The sequence below is a fragment of the Homo sapiens genome, chromosome 5, assembly GCF_000001405.40.
Source record: "Homo sapiens chromosome 5, GRCh38.p14 Primary Assembly".
In the NCBI taxonomy this organism is placed as follows: Eukaryota; Metazoa; Chordata; class Mammalia; order Primates; family Hominidae; genus Homo; species Homo sapiens.
This window is the reverse complement of record NC_000005.10, coordinates 9615594-9642246: the sequence shown is the minus strand read 5'-3', so window position 1 is coordinate 9642246 and position 26653 is coordinate 9615594. Positions and strand designations below refer to the sequence as shown.

Sequence of the window (26653 nt, the reverse complement as noted above, 5' to 3'; positions counted from 1 at the left end):
TTCATGATGCCTCTAATACCAAAGCAAATGTCCAAGTGCCGCCGGAAAGCAGAAAGATGAACATTACAGCCTTCTACCTGATGAAAAGCTTTCCAACGTCAATCTAACTGCATGTGAAAAAAATCGCACTTTCTTTTGAGGAGCTAAATGATTTGAATATAAATAAGCAACTCTTTCCGCCTGTCAGTTACCTCAAGAATATTTAGTGCTGTCTCCTTTAATGATTGCTCATTAAGATGAGTGCAAGTGAATGGATTTAATCAGGGTAATACAGGGTAATAATCATGTGAATTTCTCCACATCAGGTCTTGTCCCATCTGTTCCAAGCTATTTGTCCATGTAAAACTGTCAACGTTCCAAGCCACTGACTGACAGGTGAGGCCAGACATATACGTTTTTCATCTGAGAGCCAGAAATTCTCTGATGTGCCCTTCTCACTAAAACAAACTGTTTAAAGACCTAAAAGGATTTTATACTCAGTGCCATTGTTTTAAAAATTGTATTTGTTGTGTTGAGTGTTAAAATATTTAGTTCACTCTTGCTTAGTGCAAGAGCATGACCAACATCTGTGGCTTGATTGATGCAGTAGATTCAGAGGAAGGCTGGAGAACATGTCCTTGGGGGTCTTCACCCCAGCACTGAAAGGAGGCTCATTCAGGAAGCAAAAGGGGACATTAGTTTAGCAGTCACATGAATGCTGCACACCTACAGACAGACGTCTCTTATTTTTCCATCCTCCAGGGTAAGAAGAGTGAGTCTCAAGAGAGTGAGGAACGGTGAATCTTTGGCAGACTCTGTGTGTGCCCATGGAAGAGACAGTGACAGAAATTATGTAATGAAAAAAATGTAGCACAAGCCTTATGAATTTTTACTTTTCACTCCATGGGATTCCCATATCAAAAGACCTATTCTACACAAAATAAAGTTCTCTATGAAGAATTGTCTCTGCTCCCCAAGCTAGTTAAAACAAAAGTTGTAATAGAATATCTGAGAACCAAATGGCCCCTCAGGATCCTAGAATCCGAAAGACAAATAGCATGCTAATAAATAGAATTGGACATCGTTATTTCTTTTAAGTCTTTGGTGCAATATGTATTATCTCTGCTAGTTTCCTGTCAGGGCCGAAAAACTGTATTGCTATCCTAGACTCAGGATGTGAACTTTTTTTTTTCACTTTCCCACTTTAGTGTTCTTGTTACTTTTCTTGCAATACTGAAATGCCAGGACCTTGCTGAAGGCGCACACCACGGGATCAGTACAGAAATGTCATGGCAATATGACAGCAAACAGGGATGAACTCCATGCTGGTGTCATGGTCTGGGTTCTCCAGGAAGAGAGAGCTAGAAAACAATGACTGTCTTTCTAAGTGGCTTGCTAATATTTATTTTTTTCCTCTGGTAATATTTATTTTTCTTTTCCTCCCTTACATAATTGAGTCTGGTTTTACTTAACACACCCACCTTATGTTAAACACCAAGTGAATTAATGAATGAAGAGTACTGAGGATGAGAAGAAAGCACAAATCTGCTTCTCAGAGCTGAGTGTTGCAGGGCGCAGGTGGGTTAACCAAGATTTGCAATAGAAAGGACAGGTGCAGTGATAGACGCTTGACTGAGAAACCAAGGAACTAGCAGTAACTGCTTTTCTGAGAGTTCTTGGCTTCCCTACAAGCATACCTCATTTTATTTTATTGCACTTCACTTTGTTGTGCTTTACAGGTACTGTTTTTTTTTTTTTTTTTTTTTTTTTAAGGAATTGAAGGTTTGTGGCAATTCTGTGTCAAGCAAGTTTATCGGGGTCATTTTTCCAACAGCTTGTGCTCTCTTCATGTCTCTGTCATACCTTGGTAATTCGTTCACTATCTGAAAGCTTTTTTTATTATTTTTGTATCATTATGGTGATCTGTGATCAATGATCTTTGATGTTCCTATTGTAATTGTTTGGGGACACCACCAACTGTGTCCAAACAAGATGGCAAACTTGATTGATAAATGTTGTGTGTGTTCTGACTGACCCTCTACCCGGCTGTCCCATTGCACTCCTTCTCCTTGAGCCTCCCTATTCCCTGACTTGCAACAATATTAAAATGAGGCCAATTAATAATACTAAAATGGCCTTTGAGTGTTCAAGTGAAAGGAAGAGTTGCCTGTCTCTTATTTTAAATTAAAAGCTAGAAATGGTTAATCTTAGTGAGAAAGGCATGTTGAGAGCCATGATAGGCCAAATGCTTAGGTTGTGAATGCAAAGGAAAACTGTTTGAAGAAAATTAAAAGTGCTACCCCAGTGAACACTCAAGTGTAAGAAAATAAAATAGCCTTATTGCTGACATGAAGAAAATTTTAGGGCTCTCATACAAAATCAAACCAGCCACAACATTTCCTTAAGCCAAAGCCTAATCTAGAGCAAGGCTCTAACTCTCATCAATTGTATGAGACTGAGAGAGGTGAAGAAGCTGCAGAAGAAAAGTTTGAAGTTAGCAGAGGATAGATCATGACGTTTAAGGAAAGAAGCCATCTAACATAAAAGTACAAGGTAAAGCAGCAAGTGCTTATGTAGAAGCTGCAGCAATTCAGAAGATTTAGCTAAGGTTGGAGATCGGGGGAAGATGGCAGAGAACGGCCTAATGTGCATCTTCCACATGGATGGCAGAACAGTGTGTGGAGACTCACATCATGATCTTTTGCTCCAAGAACCACTGCAGGAACATGCCAGGAAAACCAAAATAATTCACAGATCCTTTGAAAGAGTGGCGTGCTGCTGCAAATTCCACAAAACAGGCAAAAAACTGTGAGTTCCCAAAGCATGATAGGAGGAAAACCTACCTTTGAACACACATACCCACTGGGGAATCTGAAAATCCAGATCACAGGAGAAGGATTTAACCTACCTAGGGATAAAATGGTTTTAGGGAGTTGTGCCAAATATAAAAGTAGAAGTAGCAGCGGGTAGTACCTTGCATGCACTCCCAGTCTCCAGCTTGAGCCCAGGGAAGCCATCATTGAGTATATCTCACAGGGTCCCTTGGGGAAGCCAGCCAATACAACTGCGGAGGGGTCACAGGGTGAAGGAAGTTCCCATCAGAAATTGGTAATGGTTTTGACTGGGCACAAATTTTCTTGAGCAGAGTCTGGGGTGTGAGTGGGAGCTGCTGCAGGCATAAGCAAGCAAGCACAGGAGCTGCTGCCAATGGAGCGGGCAGTGGAGAGGGGCTAGGTCTGAAAGCCATGCTTGCTTTCCCAGTGGGGTGCGCATGGTCTTGGGCACTGAGCGGGGGCACTGCTGGAGTGAGACCAGCCTCACCAACTGTGTGGGAGCTGGGTCAGGCCTCTTGCTACTGGCTATCCCCCACTTCCCTGGTGAACTATATGATACAGCAGAGGTAGCCAAGATTCTCTCTGGAATATATCCCCATTGGCCTGAGAACCACCACCTCCATCCCCCACAGTGGCTGTGGCAAGCCCCACTCAAGGAGAGTCTGAGCCCACACCCACCTAACCCTGACTCCACCTGATGGTATTTCCCTACCTTCCCTGGTAGCCAAACTCAAGACATAGAAATTCTTGGGAGCTTTATGGCCCCACACATCACATGAGAAACCAAAATAATTACCCTGGCCATCTTAGGGCAAGCTTACAGCCCCCTGCTACTACTGCAGCTGGTGCTCTCTTGAAAGTGCCATCTCCCGGCTGGAGGACAACCAACTCAGGTCATTAAAGCAACTCAGGACAGAATAACCCTGACCCCAGGAAGGAGAAGACAACACCTAATTCCACTGCCTGCAATATCCTGGCTAAGCAGAGGCCCTGAGTCTGTCCACATGACAACTTCACTGCTAGTATAACCAGCATTCAAGAAAGCCAGAAAACTAAACCTATCTACAATCAAGGGCTCTCACAGAGTCTACTTCACTTCCCTGCCACCTCCACTAGAGCAGGTGCTGGAATCCATGTCTGGGAGACCTGAAGACAGATCACATCACAGGACTCTTTGCAGACATCCCCTGATATCAGCCCAGAGCTTGGTAGCCTTGCTGGGTGGCTAAACCCAGAAGAGCAACAACAATCACTGCAGTCAGTCCAGCTGTCAGGAAGCCCCATCCCTAGGGAAAGAAAGAGAGCACCACATTGAGGGATCACCCCATGGGACAAGAGAATCTTAACAGCAGGCCTTGAGTTTTAGACCTCTCCACTGAAATAGTCTACCCAAATAAGGAACAAGAAAAGCAATTCTGGTAAGATGACAAGCAGGTTTCTGTAATACCCCAAAACATCACACACACCGGCTCCCCAGCAATGGATCCAAACCAAGAAGAACTCTCTGAAAAGCCAGATAAAGAATTCAGAAGATTGATTATTCAACTGCTTAAGAAGATACCAGAGAAAGGTGAAGACAAACTTAAAGAAATTTTAAAAATGTAGGATATGGATGAAAAATTATCAAAATAAATATGTATCATTAAAACACTAACAAATTCTGGAAATAAAAGATACACTTAGAGAAATACAAAATGCACTGGAAAATTTTAAATATAGAACAGAACAAGTAGAAGAAAGAAATTCAGAGCTTGAAGACTATGTTTTTGAATTAATTCAATCAGAAAAAGGCAAAGAAAAAAGAATTTTAAAAAATGAACAAAGCTTCCAAGAAATTTGGGATTATGTTAAAAGGCCAAACCTAAGAATAATTGGTGTTTCTGAGGAAGAAGAGATATCTGAAAGTTTGGAAAATTGTTTGAGGAAATAATTGAGCAAAGCTTCCCTGGCATTCCTAGATATCTAGACATGCAAATACAGGAAGCTCAAAGAAAACCTGGGAAATTAATCACAAAAAGATCATCACCTAGGCACATAGTCACCAAGTTATCTAAAGTCAAGACAAAGGAAAGAATCTTAAGAGCTGTGAAACAAAAGCATCAGATAACCCTTAAAGGAGAACCTATCAGATTAACAGCAGACTTCTCAGCAAAAACCTTACAAGCCAGAAAGGCTTGGGGTTCCATTTTTAGCCTCCTGAAACAAAATAATTGTCAGCCAGGAATTTTGTACCCAGCAAAACTAAGCTTCATAAATGAAGGACAGATAAAGTCTTTTTCAGACAAATAAATGCTAAGAGAATTTGCCACTAGTAAGCCAGCACTACAAAAAGTGCTTAAAGGAGTTCTAAATCCTGAAACAAAACCTTGAAATACACCAAAATGGAATCTCCTTAAAGCATAAATCTCACAGGGCCTATAAAATAATAACACAATGGAAAAAAAAAAACAAGGTATTAAGGCAACAACTAGCACAATGAATAGAAAGTACCTCACATCTCAATACTATCATTGAATGTAAATGGCCTAAATGCTTCACTTAAAAGACCCAGAATGGCAGAATGGATAAAAATCCACCACTTAAGTATCTGCTATCTTCAAGAGACTCACCCAGCCCGTAAGAACTCACTTAAGGTAAAGGGGTGGAAAAAGATATCCCATGCAAATGGACGCCAAAAGCAAGCAGGAGTAGCTATTCTTATATCAGGCAAAACAGACTTTAAAGCAATAACAGTAAAAAAGAGACAAAAAGGGACATTATATAATGATAAAATAAATGGATAGTCTAACAGGAAAATATCATAATCCTAAATATATATGCACCTAACACTGGAGCTCCCAAATTTATACAACAATTACTACAAGACCTAAGAAATGAGATAGATGAGGGACTCCAATACTCCACTAATAGCACTAGACAGCTTATCAAGACAGAAAGTCAACAAAGAAAAAATGGACTTAAACTATACCCTAGAACAAATGGACTTAATAGATATTTACAGAACATTCTACCAAACAACAGCAGAATATGCATTATTTTCTTCAGTACATGGAACATTCTCCAATATAGACCATATGATGGGTCACAAAACAAGTCTCAATATAATTTAAGAAAATCAAAATTATATCAAGTACACTCTCGGACTACAGTGAAATAAAACTGGAAATTAACTCCATAAGGAACTCTCAAAACTATACAAATACATGGAAATAAATAATCTGCTCTTGAATAATCTTTGGGTCAACAATGAAATCGAGATGCAAATTAAAAAAAATTATTTGAGCTGAACGGTAATAGTGAGACAACTTATTAAAACCTCTGGGATGCAGCAAAAGCAGTGTTATGAGAAAGTTCTTAGTATTAAATACCTACATCAGAAAGTCTGAAAGAGCATAAATAAATAATCTAAGGTCATACCTCAAGGAACTAGAGAAACAAGAACAAACAAACCCCAAACCTGGCAGAAAAAAAAGAAATAACAAATATCAGAGCAGAATTAAATGAAATTGAAACAAAAACAACAAAAAAGATAAATGAAACAAAAAGCTGGTTCTTTGAAAGGATAAACAAAATTGATAGACCATTAGTGAGATTAACCAAGAAAAAATGAGAGAAGATCCAATAGTCTCAATTAGAAATGAAACAGGAAATATTACAACCGATACCATAGAAATACAAAAAATTATTCAAGGCAACTATAAACACCTTTACACACATAAACTAAACAATCTAGAGGAAATGGATAAAATATACAATTCTCCAGCTTAAGTCAGGAAGAAATAGAAACTGAACAGACAAATAACAAGTGGCAAGATTGAAACAGTAGTAAAAAAAAAAAATCACAACAAAAATGTCCAGAACCAAAAGTGTTCACAGCTGAATTCTATCAGACATTCAAAGAAGAATTGGTACCAATCTTAACTAAAACTATTCCAAAAGATAGAGAAAGAGGGAATCCTCCTTATGTCATTCTGTGAAGCCAGTATCACCCTAATGTCAAAACCAGGAAAGGACATAACAAAAAAAGCAAACTACAGACCAATATCCCTGATGAAAGTAGATGCAAAAGTCCCCAACAAAATACTAGCCAACCAAATTCAACAGCATATCAAAAACATAATCCACCATGATCAAGTGGGTTTTATGCTAGGGATGCATGAATGGTTTAACATATACAAGTCAATACATGTGATACATGACGTAAACAGAATTAAAAACAAAAATCATATGATCATCTCAATAGATGCAGGAAAAACATTTGACAAAATCCAGCATCCCTTTATGATTAAAACCCTTAGCAACACTGGCATAGAAGGGACATACCTCAAGATAATAAAAGCCATCTAGGACAAACCCACAGCCAACATTATATTGAATGAGAAAAAGTTGAAAGCATTCTCCCTGAGAACTAGAACAAGACAAGGATGTCCACTTTCACCACTTTCATTCAACATAGTACTGGAAGTCCTAGCCAAATCAATCAAACAAGAGAAAGAAATAAAGGGCATCCAAATCAGTAAAGAGGAAGTCAAACTGTTGTTGTTCACCAGTAATATGATTGTATGCCTAGAAAACCCTAAAGACATATCAAAAAAGCTCCTAGATCAGATAAATGAATTCAGTAAAGTTTCAGGATACAAAGTCAGTGTACACAAATCAGTAGGACTGCTATGCACCAATAATGGGCAAGCTGAGAAACAAATCAAGAACTCAGTCCCTTTTACAACAGCTGCAAAAACCCAAAATACTTAGGAATATACCTAACCAAGGAGGTGAAAGATCTCTACAAGGTAAAACACAAAACACTGCTGAAAGAAATCATCTATCACACAAACAAATGGAAACACATCCCATGCTCATGGATGGGTAGAATCAATATTATGAAAATGACCACACTGCCAAAAGCAATCTACAAATTCAATGCAATTCCCATCAAAATACCACCATCATTCTTCACAGAACTAGAAAAAAACTAAAATTCATATGGAACCAAAAAAGAGACCACATAGCCAAAGCAAGACTACGCAACAACAACAACAATAAAAAACCTGGAAGCATCACATAACCTGACTTCAAACTATGCTAAAAAGCTATAGTTACCAAAACAGCATGGTATTGGTATAAAAACAGGCACATAGACCAATGGAACAAAAAAGCAAACCCAGAAATAAAGCCAAATACTTATAGCCAACTGATCTTTGACAAAGCAAACAAAAACACAAAGTGGGAAAAGGACACCATATTCAACAAATACTGCTGAGATAATTGGCAAGCCACATGTAGAAGAATGAAACTGGATCCTCATCTTTCACCTTATAAAAACAACCTCAAGATGGATTAAAGACCTAAATATAACACCTAAAACCATAAAAGTTCCAGAAGATAACATCAGAAAAACTCTTCTTGACATTGGCTCAGGCAAAGAGTTCATGACCAAGAACCCAAAAGCAAATGCAGCAAAACCAAAAATAAATAGATGGGACCTAATTAAACTAAAAAGTTTCTGCACAGTAAATAAATCAGCAGAGTAAACAGATGACCCACAGAATAGGAGAAAATATTCACAAATTATGCATCTGACAAAGAACTAATATCCAGAATCTACAAGGAACTCAGACAAATCAGCAAGAAAAAAAAACCAATAATCCCATCAAAACATGGGCAAAGGACATGAATAGACAAGTCTCAAGATATACAAATAGCCAACAACATATGAAAAAAATGCTCAACATCACTAATTATCAGGGAAACACAAATTAAAACCACTATGAGATACCACTTTACTCCTGCAAGAATGGCCACAATTAAAACATCAAAAAATAATAGATGTTGGTGTGGATGTGGTATAAAGGGAACACATTTACACTGCTGGTGGGAATGTAAACTAGTACAACCACTGTGAAAAACAATATGGAGTTTATTTAAAGAACTAAAAGTAGAACTACCATTTGATCCAGCAATCCCACTCCCGGGTATCTACCCAGAGGAAAAGAAGTCATTATATGAAAAAGACACTTGCACATGCATGTTTATAGCAGCACAATTTGCAATTACAAAAATATGGAACCAGTCTAAATGCCCATCGATGAATGAGTGGATAAAGAACATTTGTGTATATATATATATATATATATATATAATATACACACACACACACACACACACACTATGGAATACTACTCAGCCATAAAAAATGAATGAGACCTATTGCTCAGAAAAAAATCGTTTTTAAAAAATAGTACTGCTCATTGACAATGCATCTAGTTACCTAAGAGTAGTTACCTAAGAGCTTTGATGGAAATGTACAAGGAAATCTATGCTGTTTTCATGCCCGCCAATACAACATTCATTTTACAACACATGGATCAAGAAGTAATTTTGACATCCAAGTCTCATTATTTATAAAATACTTTTCATAAGGCTACAGCTGCCATAGACAGTGATTTCTCTGATGTACCTGAGCAAAGTAAATTGAAAACTTTCTGGAAAGGATTCACCATTTTAGATACCACTAAGAAGTGATTCATGGAAGGAGGTTAAAAAAAAAACACCAACAATAACAGGAGTGTAAAAGAATTTGACTCCAAACCTCCTGATGACTTGGAGGGGTTCAAGACCTCAGTGGAGGAAATAGCCGGAGATGTGGTGGAAATAGAATGAGAATTATAATTAGAAGTAGAGCCTGAAGATGAGACTGAATTGCTGTCATCTTATGATGATGTTTTTAAGAAATGAGGAAGTGCTTCTTACAGATGAGCAAATAATTTCTTCAGATGGAAACTACTCCTGGTAAAGAAGTTGTGAACATTGTTGAAATGACAACAAAGGATTCAGAACATTTCATAAACTTAGTTAATAAAGTAGTGGCACGGTTTGAGAGGACTGACTCCAGTTTTGAAAGTTCTACTGGGGGTAAAATGCTGTCAGACAGCATCACATGCTACAGAGAGGTCTTTTGTGAAAGGAAGAGTTCATCAATGCACAAAATTGATTGCTGTCTTATTTTAAGAAATTGCCACAGCCACCCAACCTTCATCAACCACCAGCCTGATCAGTCAGCAGCCATCAACATTGAAGCAAGACCCTACACCAACAAAAAGATTATGACTCATTGAAAGCTCAGATGATCATTAGCATTTTTTGGTAATAAAGTATTTTCAATTAAAGTATGTATATCTTTTTTTAAGACATAGTGCTATTGCACACTTAATAGACCACAGTTTAGTATCAACATAACTTTTATATGTACTGGAAAACCAACAAATTAGTGTGACTGGCCTTATTGCAATATTCTTGTATTTTGGTGGTCTAGAATTTAATGCACAGTATTATGGAAGTATGCTTGTATTTCATAGCTGCATGCCCTTACATTTCTGTTTTTCTAAGCTGCAGAATGTTTCTTCTAAGTTGCAAAGTTTCTTCTTCTTTCTACTGGAGGGAAAACAAGGCTCATCCTCCTGGCATGCTTGCATTTGGATCCATTCTGATGGCATCTGCTCATGAACACCTCCCTTGGTGCTTCCTTGAAGATGATCCTGTCTCTTTCCTTCATCTCACTGTAGTTGTGTCAGGAAGAACAGAGTGAGTCCAAGATGGCATAGATGGTCCTATTCAGAGAAGAGCCATAAAAGAACCTACAGATTTACTCTCACGACTAATTTTTTAAAATATGACTTCCCTTCCAGTTTTCTAAAAATAAGATTAATCTTAAGTATTCTTTATGACACATTTAGACAAAGTAACACACGTTCATTAAGACATATGCTTCATTATCAGGTCTGCCAGGTACCTTTTGATTAAGTGCTAAGTTGGAGAAGCTTTAATTCCCCCAGTGTTTATTGAATTGGTCCCCACTTTGTGCTCTGGTGATGAATTGTCTAAAGAACTAACTTGGCTGGGAGTGGTGGCTCATGCCTATAATCCTAATACCTCAAGAGGCTGAGGCAGGAGAATTGCTTGAGGTCGGGAGGTTAAGGCTAGCCTGGGCTATGTAGCAAGACTCCATATCTATGAAAAATTTTTAAAAAGCAGTCAGGCATGGTGGTGCATATCTATAGTCCTAGCTACTCAGAAGGCTGAGGCAGGAGGATTACCTGAGTCCAGGAATTTGAAGCTGCAGTGAGCTGTGATTATACCACTGCACTGCAACTTAGGTGACAAAGCAAGACTCTGTCTCTAAAGAGAGAGAGAGGACTTAGTTTTATATCACATTATATATGTGGCTCATTCTGCCTTTAGTCTTGGGATAACTGGAAGGTACAAACTATACTTTATCTACCTTTGTCCCGTCATAGTGGTTCTGCCACTCTTGAACATTTGGCAATGTCTCGAAACATTTTGGCTGTTACAGCCTGGGGAGGGTATCTGGTGGGTAGAGGACAGGCATGTGGTAGACATTCTGCATTTCCTAGATTGCACAGGACAGCCCGTGCCTAACAAAGAGTTATGTAGCCCAAAATGTCAATAATGTAAAGACTGAGAAAACCCACTTCAGCATTACAGGCAGCACGGTATACATATTAAGAAATACCAACTTAATTTTTCATAGTGCATTACAGACTGAAAGCAACAAATTTAATCATGTATTATTTTATCTTTACTTTTCTACTAGAACAACTAGCTCATGTCATAAAACTCTCATAATTTTGGAAAAATAAGAGAGAAAAGATTTTAACCCCTGAATTACTCTGCAGATGCTGACCAGGGTGAACAGTGCTGAGTGCTTGTCTTCATTTCATTACACCTTACTTTTCTTTAGGCCTTTGACCTGGTGTACACATGTATGTGCAAGCCTAATTACTTTGATTTTATACTTAGAGATACTTTTATTATGTATATTTTATTCTATAACTATTTTACAGATAGTTTTGAATTGCTCAACCATTGCATATTGGAGAACTACTCAGGAGTCCTATGTTGCTGGTTGTACCATATCATCATAACATAAGTGAAAATTTCAAAAATGTATATTTTTAAAGAGTACACGATAACATTAAGTAGAATCACACCTGTAGGCAAAATCAATTATTCATAGTAGAGATGAAGAATTGAGTATCTTTGGCTAATTACTATGGAGGAGCTGTTCTCCCAGCTGTCTGAAGGTGTCTGATTCCATTATTTGCCTGTGATGACTTTGAAAGCTAGGTAAACCTGTAAAATGCAAAAGCCATCAATAAGAAGCAAATTGATGCTAGAGTATCTCCTCCTTATTTGACTGTCTCAGAACTAAATAGAGAAAGCAGTGACATAAACAAATGTACACCACCTTCCTGCCCCATGCCTTTATTGTTAGTCTTCTTCCCCAGAGGAGTCCTGATCTAATTGAAGAGCGTGAACAACCCAACCTGTCCAAAACTTTATAACTTCATTATTTTTTAAGTAAATAATTTTTTATTCCTAAAATGCTAGAGTCTCACCTCATTATCTATTTTCTTCTTGCAGTGATACAATTTCTTCTTGGGATTTTCACAAATGGCATCATTGTGGTGGTGAATGGCATTGACTTGATCAAGCACAGAAAAATGGCTCCGCTGGATCTCCTTCTTTCTTGTCTGGCAGTTTCTAGAATTTTTCTGCAGTTGTTCATCTTCTACGTTAATGTGATTGTTATCTTCTTCATAGAATTCATCATGTGTTCTGCGAATTGTGCAATTCTCTTATTTATAAATGAATTGGAACTTTGGCTTGCCACATGGCTCGGCGTTTTCTATTGTGCCAAGGTTGCCAGCGTCCGTCACCCACTCTTCATCTGGTTGAAGATGAGGATATCCAAGCTGGTCCCATGGATGATCCTGGGGTCTCTGCTATATGTATCTATGATTTGTGTTTTCCATAGCAAATATGCAGGGTTTATGGTCCCATACTTCCTAAGGAAATTTTTCTCCCAAAATGCCACAATTCAAAAAGAAGATACACTGGCTATACAGATTTTCTCTTTTGTTGCTGAGTTCTCAGTGCCATTGCTTATCTTCCTTTTTGCTGTTTTGCTCTTGATTTTCTCTCTGGGGAGGCACACCCGGCAAATGAGAAACACAGTGGCCGGCAGCAGGGTTCCTGGCAGGGGTGCACCCATCAGCGCGTTGCTGTCTATCCTGTCCTTCCTGATCCTCTACTTCTCCCACTGCATGATAAAAGTTTTTCTCTCTTCTCTAAAGTTTCACATCAGAAGGTTCATCTTTCTGTTCTTCATCCTTGTGATTGGTATATACCCTTCTGGACACTCTCTCATCTTAATTTTAGGAAATCCTAAATTGAAACAAAATGCAAAAAAGTTCCTCCTCCACAGTAAGTGCTGTCAGTGAGAGAGAAGTTGGATCAGTTCAAAGAACCCATGATTCAATGATTTACCCATGCCTGCCACACTTCCCTCAGCCAGACAAAGCAGCCTGTTCATAAATATACAACATGTCCCCTTCAGGCCTGTTTATCCAGCCTGAGGTATTTCTGTGGATATGCTACTTTTTCAAGCAGTTAAACTGATTTTGAAAGCACAACATATGTTGATGGATTACATCAATTTCAATATCCTGGTAGTGATATTGTACTATCATCGTGCAAGTTGTTACCATTGGGAAAACTGAGTAAATGGTTCAGGGTCTTTCTGTATTCCTTCTTACAAATGCATTCAAATCTACAATTATTTCAAAATTAAAAGTTTGATGAAAAAGAAAAGCACTTGTTTGAACTCGTGATGTCAGAAGGACACATGAATGCTGTATGGTCCATGAATATCTGACGCCTTGTCTTTGATGGTTTTTCCTGACCTTAACGGGCTGACTGTTCATTTCTTGTCTACCTGGATATTATTTCTGTTCTGTCTGTTGGAGTTGCAGGCAGTGGAGCCATTCTTTCTCCTCAGATCACAAAGGAAGCAAGGACAAGCAGGCCTTCTCCATCCTTATAAGCATATTCTCCTACTTCATCCTGCAGAGAGCCTAGATGCCATGGTGACATGGCCAATCAACTGATAAAGGGGAAGACAGATGGAGGAGGAGGAGGAGTAGAGGACTGAATGCCTGTTTTCCATTTCTCCTAGCTGTGCACTCTGAACAGACAATAACTTGCAAAGATGTTTTATTTTGTATTTGTGTGCCTGACTTTGAGACCCTTTCAACCCAGAGTGGTAATTTGGAACTCCTCCTGCATTGCCTGTCTTCCCAATGAAGCAACATCAGTAGGTGGGTGGGGCTGGGGGTGTCTCCGTCTGCTTCAAGTCACAAATGCATTTTCTGTTTGGTTGAGATTTTGAATACTAAGAGATAGATAGATAGATAGATAGATAGATAGATAGATAGATAGATAGATAAATTATGGAGATAGATATACTTGTATATTTCCAAAACAGCTTCAGAACCATTTTGCTTCCAGACAAGTAAATGAAGTAAAAAATGTTCTTAAGCTCAGCGGTAACTTGTAGTTCAGGCGTGATGATGCAAAGCAGGTTTAGGTTTAGATTTTTCAATCACCAGTAATAGGAACCCAAATACAGCTTTTCTAACCCAAGCCACGCAGGCCTGGTTATAATACACCAATGAAGGATTTTGCTTCAGGAGATTCAGGGACGTACTTATCTTCTTGGGCATGGGAACTAAGCTCTGAGTGTACTCTCAACTTCCCACAGGTTTCACACTTCATTCCCCAAGGAGCAAAATGACAGCCTCCATCTTCCTGCTATTTCATTTTCCCACGTCCCACTAGGTAGGAAGGTTTGTAGCTAATCACGCACTCAGGAAGCCAGCTGTGGGAAGATCAGTTGTATCCTGGGTGTAATTATTGCTTCTGAATGGGGGAAAGGACAATGAAAAGTCACTTTTCTTTTTCTCAAGTTCAGAGAATATTCTGTTCCTTGAATCTGTGATACGTGTACCTGAAAGAGTGGGAGCAATTTCAAACATTCAGGGAGAAATTTGTCATGATACAACTCTCATGTGTTTTTTTTTCTGATACTAAATTCTGATTCTATTTCATGCAACTCCTGCTTTAATAACGTTAGCTAATTAGATAACTATTAAGATATGACTAGGTTTTTATACTGTTATCAAGAAATGTTTAAAAAAAGAATTCATAATAAAACAATTCTAAAAACATTTTCATAGTCTACTTTCCTAGAAATGTATTTCTTCCAGAAACGTTGCCTAGCTTTTGAATTGATGGGTATTGCGTAGGACGCTAATTGCTCAAATTGAGAAGCAAAACAGACTGAGCTTTTGTCTCTCTGGAGCCACGCTTATCTGCACTTGCCAGCTTTGCCAAATTGCTTTTGTCCTCATTGAACAGTGGGTTGACCTCTATCATGGTGCAACATCTTTTTGTACCCACTGTTGTAGCTTTAGAGATGGGGCTGGACATTATGCCCTGGGGAGTCTTGGCTGTGGAATCGCATGCCCATAGGTGAGGCCAGTTGACTGCTGATTGCAGACTGTGGCAGCGCTTGCTGCTCAGTTAAGTGGCTTCTGGCTGTGGCTTCCAAATAGTCTCTGCGCTAGGAGGCAGACTCTTATTGAAATGGGACCCAGCAGTCTTATTCCATTCCACTTTAGATTGGGATTCAATGAGCAGGCCCAAATCAGGAGAGAAGGGCTATCTTACTCTGTCCCACTCTCTATTCTGACATTGGCTCTTTCAGTCCCTAATCCCAGGGGTTCTGCACAGTCTCCACTGACTGAAGATGATGACACCAACAGAGAAGGCTAAATCTGTGTGCTTATAGAAATAGACTTTTAAGAAGATAAATATTGGCCAGGCATGGTGGCTCAAGTCTGTAATCTCGGCACTTTGTTGAAAGGCCGAGGTGGGCAGATCACTTGAGGCCAGTAGTTCGAGACCAGCGTGCCCAACATGGCAAAATCTTGTTTCTACTAAAAACTCAAAAATTAGCTAGGTGTGGTGGTGTGCACCTGTAATCCCAGCTACTTGGGAGGCTGAGGCAGGAGAATCACTGGAATCTGGGAGGCAGAGGTTACAGTGAGTCGAGATTGTGCCACTGCACTCCAGCCTGGTGATAGAGTGAGACTCTATCTAAAAAAAAAAAATTATATGTGTGTATATATATATATATATATATATATATATATATATATAGTCACAATTTGAATGTTAAACACTAGTTCAAAAGTCTCACCAATGATAAATGCCTTTTAAATTCTTAGTCACTCATTCAAGTGTAACAATTGCTTGAAGATACAATGCTCCGGACAAGAAGGTGCTAGAAAGACATCTGATGTCTACCATCCGTCTTCTTCAGGCTGATGACCAGGCATCCTAGGTGCTTCAGACAGTTCAAATGTTTTGCCCCATAGTATGTTTAAGTACAGGCATACTTCTCATGCTATGGATGTTGTGATTTTAGGTTTGAAAATATAGTTTCCATAACTTTTGTCCTTGTGGAGTTATACCTCTTTGGGTGAGAAGAGAAACAGGTAGTCAGAAATATGCAAGAGAGAAAGAAACCAGCCAGACCATCGAAATTCACATTGGCAATCAAAGGGATGACAGATGTTACAGACAGATGGCACCCATAATGGAGAAAAATCCAAATGACGAGGATGGGGAGACACACATGTTTTAAAGAGGGTCTTGCTGGGGAATGAGTTTGGAGTTAGACTGAACATCATATTAACACAAACTTGAGATCAGTGGAAAGTTCCTTTTTTATTATTAATATTCTTTCTTACCTAAAAATTGCAGACTCTCTAGGAAAACTTTATGCCAGGAGAAGGGTATGTACTAGGAAAATTTCCTCAATGAGCTGAAATCATTAAGATTTTGGGGAGAGTCAATACAAATTCAAGATAGCTCATGGACATTTGTTTCACTGCCGTCTTTACTGCTGTCATTCTACACAAAACTAGTCTCTCACTAATACAGCAACTTATACCTTGGTAGGATTAAAATAATGATTGTTTTCAAGATGTGATGTAAACATGTGGATTCACATCTGTGACATCTGGATCTACTTAATCTTTTTGACTGGGAATCAGGAATTGGCGATTGTATCCTAAAATTTAAAACGTATTTATATCAATGAAGTGTGGGTTTCCTTTTATTATTTTTGGCGTTTTATATTGTTTCTATTTTAAACATTTCTCCACAAGATCATCAACATAATATTAAATCAAAAATTGACTTAAAATTCTGACGACAGGTCAATTTTTTTTTCTTTTTTTGAGACAGAGTCTTGCCCTGTCATCCAGGCTGGAGTGCAGTGGCATGATCTCGGCTCACTGCAACCTCCGCCTCCTGGGTTCAAGTAATTCCCCTGCCTCAGCCTCCTGAGTAGCTAGGATGACAGGCATGTGCCACCATGCCCAGCTAATTTTTTGTATTTTTAGTAGAGACGGGGTTTCACCATGTTGGCCAGGCTGGTCTTGAACTCCCAAACTCAGGTGAGTTGCCTGCCTCGGCCTCCCAAAGTGCTGGGATTACAGGCGTGAGCCACCGTGCCTGGCCCAGGTCAATTTTAAAAATACTAAAGATTCATTTTGTTCAAACTTCAACATTTCTGAGGAAAAAAGGTACAGCGTCACTCTGTTTCTACTTTTGAAGTTGGGATGCATGCTCTTCTGAGAGAGCTTTTGCTTCCATGACTTAACCTCTCTCCCTCCCATGGATCGGTGTGAGTACTACAAGATAAGCACACACATTAAGTGTGCCAGGTGGAATTTGAATTTGGGAGTGTGCGGGGATTAAGTCCTGTAGCTAGAATGGACTTGGCACTTGGTGGGCACCACTTGAATAACCCAAATTCCACAACTGCTGGGGACGTTTCAGATTCTTCTGAGGTTGAACAGATGAAAAGGAGTGTAGAAAATAAATAAGTGGCTAACAGTGGACTAGGACCTTATATCACTAAATACATGGAATGTCCTCTGGCAAAAAAAACCCACCCATTTGAACAGCAGATGCTGCATTTGCGATTGTAAATTAGTAAGTCTTCACTTGAAACCCAGCCTGGTGGCTTCTAGAAACATTGACCAGATATAAGATTTGGTCAGGAAGTTTGGTTTCATGATTAATAGTCTCCAAAATACCACTGCTTATCTGCTAAAATATTTGAAATTCCTGAACTAAGGACTTATGCCTTTGATCATGAGGTATGATGTTTTCAGCAGCATTGGTTGCAACTCTATGGGATGAGAGAGGGAACCTTGAGTGTGACATTTTAGATTGGGAGGCTGACTGGATTTGTATAGTCCTGTTAAAAGACAGGTCATTAGTCTGTAGGCAAGCCACAGCACTGCGTTCACAAAGCCAACAACCCAGTCTCCTCAGCTCTCCTCCCTAGAACCGCACCTGCTTATTTTGGTGATTTAGGCAACTTTTGTGCAATGCAGTTAGCACTGTCATGAGCTGAGTCTCAATTTCTTCATCTGCAAAATGGGATTAAGAATAATACATACCACATGCTTGGCTAAGCTTCTTCACCATTGTGAGCACAAATGAATATAACCTCCAGGTAATGGGAACTGTAACAAGTACTGTCACGAGGAATCTCCAGCAGCCCCTCCAGAGAAGAGAAGAGTGCATGGGAGGGAAAACGTTGAACAATAGAGGGTCCTAATTAAGAGCCTGATTTGGAGTCTAGATCCACCACTAATGAGCTAAGTGACTTGATGAGCCTGAGCCTCGCATTTCCTCATCTTCGTAATGGGGTTAGGAATCATTCCAAGCTTAATGAGAGGAGCTGAGGGGTTAGTGGAACCCAGTTCCCAGCACAATGCCTGGCTGCTGCCATTGTTGTTTTTAGTTATGTTAACCTTAGGAAACTGCTAGACTTTGATGACTTTCTATCTGCAACAATGACAGTTTTGTATGCTTCCCCCTAATAATCAGTCACAGGTTTTGGAGGACAGCTAATTCTAGAAAAAGGAAACAGCACATGTAAAAGTACCTGGCAAAGAAAGGAAACAGAAACCCCATAGAGAATCATGCACAAGTGAAAAGAGGAGAGGCCAAGGGAACAATCAAAGGTATGTGGAGCTGCTTTTGCTGCGGGACAAAATGGCACCAGGACTGCAGCACCTCCAAGACACAGGTTCATTCTCACTTGTGTCGTGCACTGGCTGTGGCTGTTCAGCAGCCCTGTTACTGTTCACACTCCTGCAGGAGCAGCTCCTGTTTGGAACAGGCTAGAGGAAGGAGTGAAAACAATGGGGACCGGGGAAGTCTAAAGCTTTTGTCGTATCCAGTTGCACATCAGGCAGCCAAGCCCAGAGTAAAAAGGAGAGATACGGAATTCCTCACAGAAGGGTAGCAAATATCTGGGAATAAAATAATCCTACCATGTGGGAATGTAAAATGATGCAGTCACTATGGAAAGTAGCTTGGCAGTTCCCCAATAAGTTAAACATAGAATGACTACATTACTCAGCAATTCCATTCCTAGATATGCACCCAAGAGAACTGAAAACAGGAACTGGAACAGATAGATGTGCACCCGTGTTCATAGCAGCATTATTCACAATAGTCAAAAGGTGGAAATAAAACAAATGTCCACCAACAGATAAATGCGGAGACAAAGTGCATGTTAATACAATGGAATACTCCTTAAACAGGAATGAAGTTTGTATACATGTCACGACATGGATAAACCCTAAGGACATGATGCTGAAAGAAATAAGCCACGCACAAAGGACAAATACTGTACCATCCCACATAGAGGGCAAAATCAGAGAGAGACAAAAAGCAGAATAGAAGTTACAAGGGGCTAGGGGGCAGGGGAAATGGGGAGTGATCGCTTAATGGATAGAGAATTTCTGTTTGGAATGGTGAAAACCTTCCAGAAATAGTAGTGATAGTTACACAACTGAGGGCCACTGACTTATACACTAAAATGGTAAATGTTATTATATGTATATGTATACACAATATATAACATATATATATATATAGCCACAATAAAAAAAAAATTCTACCAAAAAAGAAAAGGAGCAGAACCAGGTGTACTTCTACCAGGATATTCTGGTCCTGTTCATGGGGAAAACACAGGTGACCGAATCTCCATTGTGAATGAACTCATGATTAAACCTCAATTAGTCTTCCCCATTACAATCAGATTATGTTTAGGTTAACAGATAAATACTGTGTTTAGGCTAACAGATAAATACTGTGCACCCAGATACTTTTAGAATCCAAATAGACAATTGCCATTCCAATATGAACTCCTTCTCCTTTCAGAGTACACAAGACATTTTACAGGCCATTGAACACAAGCACGTGCAGTGATTGAAATACAGCAAAACAAACAAACAAACAAACAAAAAAAACCCAAGTCCATGGACATTGTCTTTAAAAAGAGTTTACTTTGAAACTCATCTTAAGGGTCAAACTCAAACCTAAAAAGCATATTTCTTTTCTTTTCTTTTCTTTTTTCTTTCTTTTTTTTGTTCTTTTTTCTTTCTTTCTTTTTTTCTTTTTCTTTTTTTTTTTTTTTTGAACAGAAGGTGCTTGGAGCAAATGATCAGGGAATAGAAACTCTAACCCCTCGGGGCATCAAAGTTGTGCTTGATTGCCTGTAGTAAAGAATTTTAAAGACTGATTGAATCATTCGAGCTCATTCAGAGTGAGCAAACTGATTACAGATGGCATGCTTCCAGAATGTTAAAAATAAAAATGTCTTTTCGGGTGGGACTGGTTTCCATATCTATAGCTATAAACCCTCTAAGGCACTCTCAGAGGGCTTATCTTTGGTGATAGCTGCCCTTGCCCACGTATGAGTTTAGCCAGGGCTTAGTTCAGCTAGCTCAGCTGGCCAACTTAAACTGAAAATGCCACACATTTTTCCCATGCTTTGTATTTTGTTACATTCCAGGTTTCCACCCCTGCAAATCGCAGCCGCTTGGTCAGCTTTTGCACCCAGATCCACTGGAATGTGCGGAGCAGAGCTTGTCAGTTATAGGCCTGAGCCTCACTGCTTCTAAAGAATTCCCAGAGGGATCCCAAGGATGAATGGCTATCTCCCTGCTTTTATAGGAATAGAATGGACTTCTTGTGAAATGACTCTCCAACGTGTTTGGAGAGTCATTTCTTGTGAAATGAATAGATGGACTTCTTGTGAAATGACTCTCCAGTGTGTTCTCTTTGGGGTTTTAAATCGTATTTGAGAGAGCAAAAATAAAGTACAGCAGAACAATCTGGAGAAACAAGCAGGGGCTTCCTGGGAAAGTGGCTTCAGGTCCACAGGCTGAGCCCTCCCGTGGCCATGGTCAAGCAAGACCCAGGCCAGGCCGCTGCTGCCACTCATGTGCAGAGAGTCACGATCGGGAGTGGGAGTCCCAGAGTAGGGCTCACACAGGACTGCAAGAGTGGGGACTTTTACTTTTTTTTTTTTTTTTTTTTTTTTTTGAGACAGAGTTTCACTCTTGTTGCCCAGGCTGGAGTGCGACGGCACAATCTCAGCTCACCGCAACCTCTGCCTCCTGGGTTCAAGCGATTCTCCTGCCTCAGCCTCCCGAGTAGCTGGAATTACAGGTGCCTGCCACCATGCCCAGCTAATTTTTGTATTTTTAGTAGAGACGGGGTTTCACCACGTCTTCCAGGCTGGTCTCAAACTCCTGACTTCAGATGATCCACCCGCCTTGGCCTCCGAAAGTGCTGGGATTACAGGCGTGAGCAACCATGCCTGGCGTTTTTACATGTTTAATAAGATTTTTCTTCATTTCAAATAATGTAATAATGAATAACAAGTAGTGGAGAAGAAAATAATCTAGAATTCACCATCTTAATAAATGAGCAATTTTGATTTGTCCATGTTCCCAAACACTGCAAATAAAAATATTTAATTTTGGCATCATTATAATCATGGCAAAAGTGTATTTTTATGAATTTCATTTCACTTCTTATGTTACATATTTTATTATTGATGATTTTACTGACTACAAGATATTTTATTGAGCTGATATAGCAGAGAACTCAGAAATGGAGCAATTTATAAATATTTGTTGAAAATATGAATTAATAGATTTACTTATCAGCTTCCTTATTTAGGGGCATTGAGTTTGTTCCCATTTTTACTATTATGTATAATATGTAGTGGGCACCTTTGTGGATTTTTTTCTTACTCTTTACAATTTCTCTAAGAAAGGTTCTGAGAATGAGGATTACTGGATCAGTGGCTATGAAATACAGTGGCAAATTTATTTTTATTGGAATTGTATGGATTTGCATTTCCACTAGCTGTGCACCAATGTGCTGGTGTTTTATATCCTGGCCAACACTGCTGGTTAATATCTTATTCTTTAACATTTGCTAATTTAATAGATGCAAAGAGAGAGACTTTAATTTGCAAATCTCTCTCTTAAAATAATTATCCAGTAACTTTTGCTTTTCATCTTCATTTTTTAAGCCTTTTTCTTAGGACCTGACATAGAACCTAATTAGCTTTTAAGTTTTCTCAATAAACCTCAGCAAGTTAGAGACCTACAAAATGAGCATGTGAAAGATTCTGCACCCACTGTGTCCTGCCAAGATTACCCAAGTCACTGGACCTTCCACATCTGCCCTTGGCATGCAGCTTGGCACATGGGGGATGCCAGTGCATGCTGGCCAGGGTGGCCATGGAAGGAGACAGAAATACTCCAAGAGGCAGAGCAGAGGCCAGAGACTTGGGGGCGGCTTACAGCAGACAGAGATGGCTCATAGCCATAAGCATGGGTGTTTCAGAGAGCGATGTTACTTACTGCAAGTCCTCCCTGGAGGTGTGGTAAGATTGGCAACATACCTTGTGTGTAATATGGTTTGGGCTCTGTCCTCAGCTCATCGCAAAGATTAATTGAATGAATTTCCAAACAGCATGGAGGGCATCCTTATTTTCATCCTCAGGTTCCAGATAAGAAGACAGGGTTACTGGAAGGTATAATTTGCCTGCAATCACTCAGCCATCAGGATTCTGGCTCAGGTGATCAGATTGCACAGTCCCTGCCCTGAGGGCTTGTCGTTGCTGGGCTGGGCATAGGGAAACAGACCCTGTGTGTGATTTCTTCAAAGTCTTGACACAGATAGAAAGTCAGGAATATGTTAAATGATTATACCTTGTCTCCTTATTTGGTTTCTTTAGAAATTAATATTGAATCAATAATACATTAAAGCACTCGTGGTGATGATGATGATAATGTGCTTTAATTCACTTGATCTTTATATTTTAAAACCCTGAGTCCCAAGGAAGATGTTATTGGTCCCATTACAAATAGGGAATCTGAGACTCAGAGGCTGAGTGACTGCCACAGCCACGGTTTGAACCTAGGTCTTCAAACTCATCTGTACCATGGGCTGAATAGCAATGTTGACCTCCTAAGGGTATTGAGGGTCAAATTCTTAGCACAGTGTGTGACACACATTATTATCAATGACAGAGGAGATAGCTGAAACCATGTTTGCAAGAAGGTGAGTTGGAGGCTTGGGAAGAGGATGGTAGATGGGTTCAAGGGAACCTTTGCTTCCTGGGAGATCACAGATGAAGAGAAGGAGCCCCTAGGAAAGGAGGGATTGAGTAGACCAGAGAAGTGTTGCTGAGGTTTTCCTGGAGCAGGGGTGGATGGGACTGCAGGTTCTTAAACTTAACCAGGAGAAGAAAAGAAGAAAGGAGGTAGAGAGGAAGAGCATGTTAAGGAGCTGAAGATGGAGCTGTGGTAACAGCAGCTTGAGCTGAGCCGACCCGAGACCAGGGTTCAACAGCACTTGGGACATGCGCCCATGCTCCGACCCACAGAAAGCCTGGAAGTTTTCACGTGCCGTTCACTGGTGAATTTTACAGTGTGGAGGGCACTGAAGTCATGACATGGAGGGAACAAGACCTGGGATGAGGGACTGGACTAGGCCCCCATAAACATAGTTCTAATACTCCATGTTCCCAGGACCTTCCCATCAGCAGGGCAATGATTCCTGCTTCCTAGGGTTCCATTTTTCCTGCGTCACGAGTGTCCTTCTGGGCATAGGTCAACGTTTTTCTGCTTGCATTAAACTGGGAGAAAATCAGAGAGAACATGTAGGAGATGCCTTTCCTAATTGTTCTTGATCACTTTTCTCTCGATACGATTTACATTTGGGGCTGGTCATTCTTTGTTTTGATGGGAGCAGCGGCAGGGGCTGTCCTGAGCATTGTAGGATGCTGAGCAATATCCCTGGTCTCTAGCCACTAGATGCCAGTAGCACCCTCCCAGTTGTCACAATTAAAAAATGCCTCCAGACATCGTCAAATGTCCCTGGCAGGCAAAATTGCTCCCCCCACCCCACCCTACCCCTGCCTTTGAGAACGACAGTGATAGAGGAACTCATTTATTTTACTTTACAAATGGACCAGTAAATATGCAGACTAACAATTTTATAATTAAGTAATCTGTGACCATTGTATTAATCATATAATTAAATATTAGAACATGGAGTTTCTGCGATATCACTTTCTAGATAAAACTGTGTCACTTGACCAGAATCAAACTTAGTCAATGTTTGTTTTTCTCCCAGAAAGTTTTCTCCGGACATGTTTTCTCCTGCTTCCTGTTCAAAACCATTGTTTACTGCCTGTAAGAAACAGCTGCTCTATCCCCAAAGTGACAGCATTTCAATAATACCGAGTATGTACATGTGTGCTGGGATGCTGTTGGTTTAGTAAATTTAGGGAGTAGAAAATTCACAGTGACATTTGAACAGAAATCTCAAGGGAAGATCAACGGTCTATGGGGATTAAGAAGTGTACCTCTTCCTTGTATTCATAGTTTTAAAAAGCACTGTTTTCAAAGCTCAAACAGAATGATTTGATACCCTGATTGCCTTCTGGTGGCATGTACTAAATGGGGGTGGCTGCAGAGGAAGAAGAAAAGTCTAGAAGCTACTCTTCCACAGCATATGCTTGTCTGTGTTAAGGGTCACTGGTGGTCCAGACAGTCTTCTGAAGAGAGTCTAACAGTGTCTCCAGTACGGCCATCCATCAGTACTTTAGACAGATGTAGGGAAAGGTCAAGCCAAATAGGCAGGCTCTCTAAGAGGAGTGTCATTCCTTCATCTCCTTCCTCCCTGTGTGTGTGAGAAGACACAAGGGGCCGCTCTAGGAGCTGGGGACAGCCCTCCCCTGAGGAGAGATAGAAGCAAGCCTTAGGGACTGTGCCTTATGTGATTGGAGCCTGCTGAGCCTCACTGTGCTCAGAGCCAGAGATTAATTACTCTCAGGCCACTCTATAAGCTACGAGAAAAAGGAGTCAGGAGGAGAGCTTGTGTGCAAGGAGTACTAGTGGAACAGGGAATGCTGGTGTAAGGAGGGAGGCTGGTGGAACAGGGAATGTTGGTGTAAGGAGGGATGCTAGTGGAACTGGGTGACTTTGTTTTTAAATTGTTTCTCACTGTAATGCTAGTAGGACTAGGGTAGCCAGCTGAGTTAAAATGTAAATATAAATCTTTACCAGAAATATAAAATGAGTATTGATAGAACTTTGGGGCAGGGGAAGTCTTTCCAACCTGGACATTACAATCAGAAACTTCATAGGTCTGATTACATAAAAATTTAAAACTATCTCTACAGGGAAATAAAATCTCACCATGGTAATAGAACACTGGGGCCGGGCATGGTGGCTCACGCCTGTAATCTCAGCACTTTGGGAGGTTGAGGTGGGAAGATCACGAGATCAGGAGTTCAAGACCAGCTTGGCCAACATGGTGAAACTCATCTCTACTAAAAATACAAAAGTTAGCCGGGCGTGGTGGCGGGCGCCTGTAGTCCCAGCTACTCAGGAGGCTGAGGTAGGAGAATCACTTGAACCTGGGAGGCGGAGGTTGCAGTGAGCCAAGATCATGCCATTGCACTCCAGCCTGGGCAACAGAGTGAGACTCTGTATAAAAAAAATTAAAAAAAAATAAAATAACATTGGGAAACCACCATAACATATGTAATAGAATTACTATAAACATAATATGAACTCTCAAAAGCAATGAGAAAAAGACAAGCCTGCTCAACACAGTAGGCAAAAGATATGAACTAGGCAGTTCCAGCAAGATGAATAAGTACATGAAAATTAGTAAGAAAAATAAAAACTAATACAACAATTAAGTAGTGTCACAGTTGACCGGATAGATAACAAAAATGCAAAATAATGAAGTAGCCAGTACTGGTGATGGTGTGGGGGTAGTAGGAACATCATGTTGGGGGAATTTTTAAGTCAAGACTTTTTGAGAACTATTTGCTGATATATCTAGAGGTTTGAAATCTTTAATTCTTTAACCTAGCGATAGCCTATCTAAGTATTTAGTATCAAGAAACAGCAAGTGCCCAGCATCTAAATTTAGAGAGCTCTGTTACGTGGCCATTTATGAAGGCAAAATGTGAAAAAAACCTAAATGACCAGGGAAGTGTTTAAATAAACTATAGTAAAAACATACAGAGCAGTCTTCCTGCACTAATTGAAAATGTTAATAGTAACCTACATTTATTGACATGAGGATGTTTATAAAATATTTAATGCAAAAATGACAGTATAATGCAAATATGATTTGTGTAAAAAGCATACATTATATATACATGTATATATATATATATACATGTTTATATATGTGTAAATGTGTAAGAAAGATGGAACTGTACAGACCAAAATATTAACAGTCTTTAGATTTGCAATTTAACCTAACAATCTTTAGATTTGCAATTTAAAATGACTCTTTTTCTTCTTTATCTGTATTTTCTAATATGTTTACAAATGACGTGTGTTACTTGTGGAACAAATGAATAATAAAGGCAAAAGAGAGACTCCTTCTAACTTCTGCTGTGTTTTCTGCCTCCTTTTCCAAGTCTTAGAACTTGTCCCTGTGTCAGTGACTCTCCATTCACCTTCACACTTTCTGCCTCATTCAAAGCTGGACCC

General features: G+C 39.7%; 1 protein-coding gene and 2 long non-coding RNA genes across 4 annotated transcripts in view; 2 read left to right on the top strand and 1 right to left on the bottom strand.

Moving 5' to 3' along the window:
* The window catches only part of LINC02112 (long intergenic non-protein coding RNA 2112), a 262510-nt gene extending 261578 nt beyond the window's left edge, over positions 1-932 (top strand). The window contains exons 12-13 of the long non-coding RNA NR_027112.2: positions 306-375; positions 742-932. This is a non-coding gene — a long non-coding RNA (long intergenic non-protein coding RNA 2112). The remainder of the gene's footprint in view (positions 1-305; positions 376-741) is intronic.
* TAS2R1 (taste 2 receptor member 1) overlaps positions 1-14900 on the top strand; it is a 276530-nt gene extending 261630 nt beyond the window's left edge. The window contains exon 10 of one of the 2 annotated variants that reach the window (NM_001386348.1): positions 12255-14900. In NM_001386348.1, coding sequence (NP_001373277.1) covers positions 12335-13114 — 780 coding nt within the window. In that variant the 5' untranslated portion in view covers positions 12255-12334 and the 3' untranslated portion in view covers positions 13115-14900. Of the gene's footprint in view, positions 1-11895 lie in introns of those variants that run through there. The other variant, NM_019599.3, reaches the window with a different exon arrangement.
* LOC124900938 (uncharacterized) lies at positions 10351-12304 on the bottom strand. Its single transcript, XR_007058688.1, has 3 exons — positions 12230-12304; positions 11822-11963; positions 10351-10420 (listed from the first exon to the last, which is right to left on the bottom strand). It is a non-coding gene; the product is annotated as an uncharacterized LOC124900938 (long non-coding RNA).
* Positions 14901-26653: the final 11753 nt, after the last annotated feature.